Genomic DNA, 10,370 nt, shown 5'->3' with positions numbered 1-10,370 from the left:
AATAAGTTTTAATTTAAAGGGGAAGAAAGAGTTGCAAAAATATAGAAAAAGCCCTGAAAAATAAGTACACGGTATAGTGGATATAGAAATTCTTACAATAATTATAGAAGCGTATGTTGGGGTGAATTGTTTTAATTAACTTACTTTCCAACACAGGATTCTTGACAAATAATTTTAGGTATTATTTTTTTCTCCATTTGGCTATGTGCTTTTCCCCAAAAAGTGCAAATTGGACTCATGCACATAAAAGAGTAGCATAATTTTTGCTTTATTACTTACAGGTCGCCCATATTTGATTTTGAGCTCCAAAATGGAAGATTGGAAAATATGTTTTGAAGAGGTGTTTCAAATTAAAACAATAAAGAGTTTATGTGTGGATGAATGGAAGGGCCTTGACCGCTTTCTTTGGCTTTGGGAATGTACAAAATACCTCAAATGTTAATATCCTACCAAAATTCCCAAGATAAGTAAATTGTGGTGTATCTATATGATAGATTACTATCAAGTCATCAAACATCATGAGGAAGAATGTTGACTTGGAAGAACCTTCACTAAAACACAGGCTGTAGAATAATATATGTGGTTTGTTAACATTTTGGTAAAAAATAATAGGTAACTAAGGCATAAATACCAAAAACCGAATGACAACGTTAAGAGTGGTTTTTTTCTTGGAAGTAGGTTTATAGGTGTTTTTTTTCCTTTGAGTCCTGTTTTCCAAGATTTTGTTTTAAACATGTATTGTATTGCTAAATATTACTAGAAATATAGGAGAGGGCTAAAGTTCATAAACGGTCGAAATACACTGTTTGTCTATAGTAAGTCGATATTCTCCCAGTTGCACATTATTAAGTATTCTTAACTGTCCACTATAAATTATTGATTGTTAGACTTTTGAACTTGTAACTGTAATCAAGGCCATTTTAAAACTTGGCATTGAACTCTGGAATCTGTCTTTCCTCTTCATGGAAAGACAAAATTGCTGAAGGGATGCTTACAGGCATTTTTTTTTTTTTTTTTTTTTTTTTTTTGAGACAAGGTCTGACTTTGTTGCCCAGGCTGGAGTTCAGTAAAGTGATCATGGCTCACTGAAGCCTTGTGCTCCTAGGCTCAAGCAGTCCTCTCACCTCAGCATCCCAAGTAGCTGGGATTACTGATGTGCAGCACCACACCCAGCTAATTTTAATTTTTGTAGAGAAAAGATCAATCTATGTTATCCAGTCTGGTCTTGAACTCTCTGCCTCAAGCGGTCATCCTGCCTCAGCCTCTCCAAGTGCTGGGACTACAGATATGAGCCCCTGTGCCTGGCTGAGGACTTTTAAACTATACAAATAAACTTTTTTTTTTGAAGGTCTCAAGTGCACTTTTTTTTTGTTTTTTTTGGAGACAGTCTTACTCTGTCCCCCAGCCTGGAGTGCAGTGGCGCAATCCCAGCTCACTGCAATCTCTGCCTCTCTGGTTCAAGCAATTCTCGTGCCTCACCCTCTCGAGTGCCTGGGATTACAGGTGCATGCCACCACCTTGCCTAGATAATTTTTTGTATTTTTGATAGAGACGGGGTTTCACCGTGTTGGCCAGGCTGGTCTTGAACTCCTGACCTCAGGTGATCTGCCCACCTCAGCCTCCTAAATTGCTGGGATTACAGGCATGAGCCACTGTGCCTGGCCCTAAGTGCACTTTTAATACATTTATTAAAAGATAAACTGAGCACATAACCTATACCAAATACTATCCTGTAAGACAGGTCTACAAAAATGAATATGCTGTTCCTGTGCCTGGGGAACATGCAGAAGTGATTTCACTTTATGTTGTTTTTTTTTTTTTCTTGAGACGGTCTCGCTCTGTCACCCAGACTGGAGTGCAGTGGTATGATCTCGGCTTGCTGCAACCTCTGCCTCCTGGGTTCAAGCAATTCTCATGCTTCAGCCTCCCAAGTAACTGGGTTTACAGGCATGCACTGCCTCAGCCAGCTAATTTTTTTTTTTATTATTTTTTTGAGACAGAGTCTTGCTCTGACGTCCAGGGTGGAGTGCAGTGGTGCCATCTCGGCTCACTGCAACCTCCGCCTCCCGGGTTCAAGCGATTCTCCTGCCTCAGTCTCCCAAGTAGCTGGGATTACAGGTGCGTGCCACCAAGCCCAGCCAATTTTTTTTGTATTTTTAGTGGAGACGGGGTTTCACCGTGTTAGCCAGGATGGTCTTGATCTCCTGACCTCAGGTGATCCATCCGCCTTAGCCTCCCAAAGCGCTGGGATTACAGACATGAGCCACCGCACCCAGCTAAATTTTTGTATTTTTCTTTAGTAGAGACAGGGTTTCACCACGTTGGCCAGTCTGGTCTCGAACTCCAAGTGATGCACTGGCCTCGGCCTTCCAAAGTGCTGGGATTACAGGCATGACCCACCACTCCCGGCATTACGTTCTTATTTTAGAGATGAAACAGATCTGAGAGGTTACATCAACTAATCAGACAACATCAAGCTGATAATCAGAGGTGGAAGACTTAGGACTCCTATTCTGGTCTTAGGAGCAAAGGTCCTGTTGTTTCTCCCACCTTATAACATTGCCCTTCTTGTCAGACTTTCAAAATACATTTTAAAATGTGTCCCATGGATAAGAAAATACTTGAAAATTATCCTTAAGTTGAAACTTTTTCTTATCTTACCAAAGTAAATTAATGATTCAAGGATATTGGGATATTGTGTCATCCGAACGACATACACATGCTGATAATGTATTTTTTTGTCATTTGATTTTCAGTGGATTATTTATAAAAGTAATTTTGAACTCCTGCCAAAATGGTTGGCCCTTTTTTTTTTTTTTTTAACCTTGTCAAATTTTTATATGGTGTCTCCAATGCAGATAGGACTTTTGGAAATAAATGTTCTTTCTCTGAATTTTTTTTTTGTGGGGGAGGGTGTTTTCCAGACCTTTTGCTCACATGAGCCATTCTTGGTTTGTTCCAGCTTGCCAACACTTGGTGTCACATGTGAGCCTCCCACATGTATTCACTCTCCATTCCAGCTCTGTGATTGAACTCTGCTCTTATTGACTAGGGGGCAGTTGGGCAGGCATGCCTCATTCCTGGAATTGACAGTCATTCCTAATGTGAGTAAAGGGGAACCTCAATGAGACATCTTTAAACATATGAAAGCATTTGGTTTTAAAATGGAAGAACTGTCAGGTACTGTTAGTGCCTGAGCCTTTGCAGCAGTTTGTTTGATAGGTACAAGAGAACTGATATGCCTGTTTTCTCCAGTTCTCTTTATCTTTCTTTAGCAGTTCTATTTGAATGTTTTCTATCTATTCGTACTCATTTTTACTCCTTCTGACCCTTCTTTTCTATTTCCCCCTTCTCTGCCTTGTTCTTCTTTTTCAGTTTTGAATATACTAACACTGAATCAGCACTTCTAAAGCCCTTCCTTCTCCCACTGGCTTCACTTGGCTTTCAGACATAATGAGGAGACTGGCTTTTCGAGGCGCTGGTTGTGCTCTGGTAAAGCTGGTAAATTACTGATTATCTACACCCTTTCCCTTTTCTGTCCTTCCTTGACTTTTTCCTTCCACCTTTCTTAAATTTTTGTTATCCTTTCCACAAAGATTCCCTCCTTATGTTCATCAAATTCACTTGTGTCTTTGTCATAGATTGTTTAAAAGGGATTGGTCCTTAATTTATCTTAATGAATTGAGTCCTGTTGATCAGCTTTTTATAAAATGAACAAAAATCAGCAAAACTTGGCTAAGTTTTGGCTAAGCCTTTTGACGATTTTAACTACTTTTAGCCAACTTCAAACTAATAATACTGTATAACAAACCGAAGCCTAGAGTAAGGAACATCATCGTGGTAGATTTTGTTTTAAACACCATGTGGACTTTAGTTTGGAAAAAGAGATCTGAGACTTCTCTTTTTCCTTAATTGCTCACCAGGATTTTCAAATGTGATTCTTTTGCTCCTTCTTTCTGTTTCCTGGAGATCCCCAACCTTTCTTTCCATACTGCTGGCAACCAGTGTTCTCCTGTTCTAATCATTCAGCTGCTGGTGTCGTAGTGTCCTGAAATTCAGTGTTTCCATGTGCCTTACAATTATGAGGTACTCTAGTTCTATGAGGTTCCTCATAATTGTAAGGCACATGGAAAAGCAGATGAGGTGCTGACTCAAGAAGTGAATACCTTGGGGCCTCTGAACCCCAGGCCTGCCTGACTACCTCAGGGGCTGAAGGATCAATACCTTCAGTGTTGATGAGTGAAACTGGGATCTTTTTTTTTCTTTTAGCTTTAGAAAAAGGCCTTTGACGGGCGGATCACGAGGTCAAGAGATTGGGACCATCCTAGCCAACATGGTGAAACCCCGTCTCTACTAAAAATACAAAAATTAGCTGGGTGTGATGGCACACGCCTTAGTCCCAGATACTCTGGAGGCTGAGGCAGGAGAATCGCTTGAAACTGGGAGGTGGAGGGAGGTTGCAGTGAGCAGAGATCGTGCCACTGTACTCCAGCCTGGTGACAGAGCGAGACTCCACCTAAAAAAGAAAGAAAGAAAGAAAGAAAAAGGCCTTTCAAATCACAATATACTATTTGATAGTATTGTTAGATTGTATTGCAATATAAGCATTGCAGGACTTTCTTGGGTATATACTATCTGTAGCAGATCATTCAGTGGTTGCATTTCTTGTGTTGTAAATAGAGTTATAGTTAAAATTGTTATAGTTAAATAGAGTACGTGTTATAGTTAGAGTATGTCATATCACTAAAAGGTGATTAGTTTGAATTAACAGAAGAGTTTCAAAGGATAGTTTGTACCTCTGTCTAGGTATAGCAAGTCTCATTAAGTGTTTTCCAGGGATATGTCTTGTGGATCCTGTTTTAATGAATGGAGAACATTCATTTTCAGGGTTTTAATTTTAGAGTACATCTAAAGTGCTAGAAGGTTAATTGTCCTCTGTCCCCTTACCTTTTTGCACTACTCATTTGTCCTGGGCTCTGCTTCTTGCTCTTTTCCACATGATGGCCCACCTAGCAAATGATCATAATTGTAAGGCACATAGAGAAGCAGATGAGGTGCTGACTCCAGAGGTGGATACCTTGGGGCCTCTGTACCCCAGGCCTGCCTGACTGCCTCATGGGCTGAAGGCTTAATACCTTCAGCACACTAATGTACTGCTACATATAGGTTGGGAAACTCTAGGCCAAATTTGGAGCCAGAAGTTGAGTCATTCAAGATTGCTGATATACAAATGAATATGCTTTTGTTGAATTTGTCCCATCAAAATTGGAAGTATAGCATTCTGGTAAGTGAAAGACTAAAACAAGGAAGTCCAGGGCTTAAAAAAAAAAAAAAACTTATAGCTAGTTAAACTACAACACGTTAAAATATCCTCCTAAGTGAGCCAGGAGTTTGGTAGCAGGTGTCCAGCTGAAGACTTGGTGACAGAGTCTATTTAAATGTAAGAACATGGCTGATTATTTCTTATAGAAGAAGTTGGATTCCATGGGTTCCAAGAGAAGAAGAGCTACCTCCCCTTCCAGCAGTGTCAGCGGGGACTTTGATGATGGGCACCATTCTGTGTCAACACCAGGCCCAAGCAGGAAAAGGAGGAGACTTTCCAATCTTCCAACTGTAGATCCTGTGAGTAACTTGGATTACATGGTTTCTGCCTGCTCTTCCCACAATTCCCCTATCTTCCCTTTAATGGTAAAATTGTTACGATGCAAGGCATCTCCACTTTTTTAAGATTCTCTTGATTAATAGTCTTTTCTTTTATGAACATTATGTATTCAGCTAAGTCTTAGAGTAATAGTGTGATCTTATGAATAATTTCAGTATGTTACATCATATATTAATTCAGCAAATAACTGTGTGACTATCATGTGACAAGCACTGTTCTCATGGTTGGGATATAGCCATGTGGAAACAAGCCCATTTTTCACATGGAACTTAGATTCCAGGCGGGGGAAGTAGAATGTAAACAAGTAAACGAATAAAGAATAATGTATCCTTAGCTAGTAATAAGTGCTAAGAAGAAAATTTTGGGTGATTTGGGCTGTTTTGGCCTGAATTCGCTGGAAGAGAGTTCCAGACAGAACCAGTGCAGAGGGGTTGGGTCAGGGATGAGTTTTGTGTGTCTTGGTTACAGAGCAGGGGATGGTCAGGAAGGAGAAGGAAACTGGCAAGCTCCACCCATTCAGAGTATGTAGGGCCCACACAAGCAATGTTTGGAGTTTAGATTTTATTCTCTGTGAAGTGATAAACCCTTCTGTCAGATGGCTTTAAGCAAGAGAGTGATAAACTGATTTAGTTTCAAAGAAGAAAACCCTTCAATTGGATGACTTTAAGCAAGAAAGTGATGAACTGATATAGTTTAGAAGACAAAATCACCAGGAGCATAAATCTGATGAAAGATACCAAAAAGTTAGTCAACTCAGTTGTTTGAAAGGAGACATATTGTCAGCATATTTCAGACTTTAGCATGTTTGGTAATATTGAGAGTCATCATTTTTCTTCTCTACTTGCCTTTTATTGAAGAGTAGAAAATAATTCTTATGTCTACACTGGCTTTCTGTTCACTTTTTTAGTGATTTTTTTCTCCTTTGCTAATGTGTAGATTGCCGTGTGCCATGAACTCTATAATACCATCCGAGACTATAAGGATGAACAGGGCAGACTTCTCTGTGAGCTCTTCATTAGGGCACCAAAGCGAAGGTGAGTTCGAAGCACATCAGTACAGTTGCGGGGGATTTGGTCCAGAGTCCATGTGTATTAAAGTGTTTGGAAATTGAGCTTTTTGTTGGCAGGAATGGCTTAAATGATACTGGGGTCCAATTTTAGTCTTTAGTCTTTAGTAATCAAGCTGTAGTGAAGCTTTTTTTAAATTAAAAATCTGTTGAGCCAGGCACAGTAACATGCACCTATAATCCCAGCTACTTGATTTTTTGAGCCAGGCACAGGAGCATGCACTTGTAATCCCAGCTACATGGGAGACTAAGGCAAGAGAATTGCTTGATCCAAGGAGTATGACACCAGCCTGGGCAACATAATGAGACCCCGTCTCTTAAAAACAAAAACAAAAAAAATGACCTATGCGGAAAGATCTCTTGAGGCCAAGAATTTGAGACCAGCCTGGGCAACATAGTGAGACCCATCTCTACAAAAAATTTTTTGAAAAATTAGCCAGGTGTGGTGGTGCTCACCTATAGACCCAGCTACTAGGGAGGCTGGGGTGGTAGGATTGTTTGAGCCTGGGAATTTGAGGCTGCAGTAAGCCATGAGTGTCACTGCACTCCAACCTGGGTGATGGAGCAAGAGCTTGCCTAAAAATAAATATTTAAAAAAGAGTACTGACCAGGCACAGTGGCTCACGCCTGTAATCCCACCACTTTGGGAGGTCTATAGGTGGGCAAATCACCTGAGGCCAGGAGTTCGAGACCAGCCTGGCCAACATGGCAAAACCCTGTCTCTACTAAAAAATACAAAAATTAGCCAGGTGCAAGGCTGGGCGCAATGGCTCATTCCTGTAATCCTAGCACTTTGGGAGGCGAAGGCGGGTGGATCAGCTGAGGTCAGCAGTTTGAGACCAGCCTGGCCAACGTGGTGAAACCCCGTCTCTACTAAAAATACAAAAATTAGCCAGGCTTGGTGGTGGGCGCCTGTAATCCCAGCTACTTGGGAGACTGAGGCAGGAGAATCACTTGAACCCGGGAGGTGGAGGTTGCAGTGAGCCGAGATCGTACCGTTGCACTCCAGCCTTGGTGACAAGAGTGAAACTCCATCTCAAAAAAAAAAAAAAAAAAAAAGCCGAGCATGGTGGTGGGGCGCCTGTAATCCCAGCTACTTGGGAGGCTGAGGCAGGAGAATTGCTTGAACCTGGGAGGCAGAGGTTGCAGTGAGCTGAGATCCCGCCACTGTATTCCAGCCTGGGTGATAGAGCCATTCTGTAGGTTGCCTTTTCATTTTGTACGGTGTCCTTAGATGTACAAAAGGTTTTAATTTTCATGAAGTTTATGTTGTCTTTTTCTCTTGTTGCCTGTGCCTTTGGTGTCATATCCATGAAATTAATGCCAAATCCAATATCATGAAGCTTTTCCCCTATGTTTTTGTATTAATCAGGGTTCTCTTGGACAGGACTAGGCTGCAAATTTTCCAAACTTTTATGCTCTGCTTCCCTTATAAAACTGAATGCCTTAAACAGTACCCAACTCACCTCTTGAATGCTTTGCTGCTTAGAAGTTTCTTCTGCCAGATACCCTAAATCATCTTTCTCAAGTTCAAACTTCCACAGATCTCTAGAGCAGGGGCGAAATGCCCCAGTCTCTTTGCTAAAACATAACAAAAGTCACCTTTACTCCAATTCCCAGCAAGTTCCTCATCTCCATCTGAGACCACCTCAGCCTGGACCTTATTGTCCGTATTGTTATCAGGCTTTTGGTCAAAGCCATTCAAGTCTCTAGGAAGTTCCAAACTCCCACATTTTCCTGTCTTCTTCTGAGCCCTCCAAACTGTTGCATCCTCTGCCTGTTATCCAGTTCCAAAGTCGCTTCCACATTTTCGGGTATCTTTTCAGCAGCGCCCAACTCTACTGGTATCAATTTACTGTATCAGTTGGTTTTCACACTGCTGATAAAGACATACCCGAGACTGGGAAGAAAAAGAGGTTTAACTGAACTTACAGTTCCATATGGCTGGGGAGGCCTCAGAATCATGGTGGGAGGTGAAAGGCACTTCTTACATCAGTGGCAAGAGAAAAATAAGCAAGAAGCAAAAGTGGGAACCCCTAATAAACCCATCAGATCTCATGCAACTTAATCACTATCACGAGAATAGCACGGGAAAGACTGGCCTCCATGATTCAGTTACCTCCCTCTGGGTCCCTCCCACAACATGTGGGAATTCTAGGAGATAACAATTCAAGCTGAGATTTGAATGGGGATACAGCCAAACTGTATTGGTTTTCCTCTAAGAGTTTTATAGTTTTAGCTCTTACATTTAGGCCTTTGATCCATTTTGAATTTTTATAAGTAGTGTTTAGGTAAGGATCCCGCTTCATTCATTATTTTTTTTTTTTTTTTTTTTTTTTTTTTTTTTTTTTTTGAGACGGAGTCTCGCTCTGTCGCCCAGGCTGGAGTGCAGTGGCGGGATCTCGGCTCACTGCAAGCTCCGCCTCCCGGGTTCACGCCATTCTCCCGCCTCAGCCTCCCAAGTAGCTGGGACTACAGGCGCCCGCCACTACGCCCGGCTAATTTTTTGTATTTTTAGTAGAGACGGGGTTTCACCATTTTAGCCGGGATGGTCTCGATCTCCTGACCTCGTGATCCGCCCGCCTCGGCCTCCCAAAGTGCTGGGATTACAGGCGTGAGCCACCGCGCCCGGCCCCCGCTTCATTCTTTATATGTGTGTATCCAGTTTTCCCGGTATCGTTTGTTGAAAAGACTGTGCTTTTCTCATTGAATGGTTTTGGCGCCTTTGTCAAAATTTGCTTGACCGTGTATGTGAGGGTCGTTTCTAGGCTCCATTCTATTCCATTGGTCCCTGTGTCTGTTTTTATACCAGTAGCACACATTTTGATTACTGTGAACAACATATTCAGTGGCAAAATACTTAAAGCTTTTCCTCTAAGATCACGAACAAGACAGAGATGCCCACTTTCACCACTTCAACACCTTGTTCACTGTGGAATAAATCCCACCTGGTTATGGTATATAATCCTTTTAATATCCTGCTGAATTCAGTTTGCTAATATTTTATTGAGAAATTTTGCATCAGTATTCATAAGGGATATTGATCAGTAGTTTTCTTGTAGTATCTTTGTCTGGCTTTGGTATCAGAGTAATGCTAGCTTCATAGAATAAGTTAGGACGTGACCTCGCCTCTTCAATTTTTTGGAAAAGTTTCATAAGGCTTGGTGTGTTAGTTCTTGAAATGTCTGGTTAGAATTCATCAGTGAAGCTATCAGTCTAGGGATTTTCTTTGTGGGAGATTTTTTATTACTGATTCAGTCTCCTTACTAGTTATAGGTTTACTCAGGCTTTGTATGTCTTTAGTAGGTTGTGTGTTTCTAGGAAATTATCCATTTCTTCTAGTTTATCTAATTTGTTGGCATACATGTTTTCCTAGAACTCTCATAATCCTTTTTATTTTTGTGGCATTGGTTGTAATGTCTCCTCTTTATGATTTTAGTTATTTGCATCTCTTTTCTCCCTTACTTCTTCCCTCCCTCCCTCCTCCTTTCTGTCTTTTTTTGAGACAGGATCTTGCTTTGGCACCCAGGCTGGAGTGCAGTGGCAATCACAGTTCAGTGCAGACTCAACCTCCCGGACTCAAGCAGTCCTCTCACCTGATGCTACCATACCTGGCTAATATATATGTTATATATACGTGTG

General features: G+C 41.3%; 1 protein-coding gene across 171 annotated transcripts in view; it reads left to right on the top strand.

Moving 5' to 3' along the window:
* Positions 1-10,370, top strand: part of PBRM1 (polybromo 1) — a 140,547-nt gene that overhangs the window by 718 nt on the left and 129,459 nt on the right. For 52 of the 171 annotated variants that reach the window (NR_174502.1, NM_001405585.1, NM_001405555.1 and 49 more), the window contains exons 2-3: positions 5,470-5,622; positions 6,599-6,696. Coding sequence is in view for 165 of the 171 variants with exons in the window: in NM_001405585.1 (NP_001392514.1) it covers positions 5,485-5,622; positions 6,599-6,696 (236 nt within the window). In the remaining 6 variants the exon portion in view is untranslated. Of the gene's footprint in view, positions 1-281; positions 3,105-3,375; positions 3,502-4,269; positions 4,337-5,469; positions 5,623-6,598; positions 6,697-10,370 lie in introns of all 171 variants that reach the window. The other 119 variants (NR_175959.1, NM_001405573.1, NM_001405572.1 and 116 more) reach the window with 19 other exon arrangements.

The sequence above is a fragment of the Homo sapiens genome, chromosome 3, assembly GCF_000001405.40.
Source record: "Homo sapiens chromosome 3, GRCh38.p14 Primary Assembly".
In the NCBI taxonomy this organism is placed as follows: Eukaryota; Metazoa; Chordata; class Mammalia; order Primates; family Hominidae; genus Homo; species Homo sapiens.
This window is presented reverse-complemented; position numbering and strand designations above follow the sequence as displayed.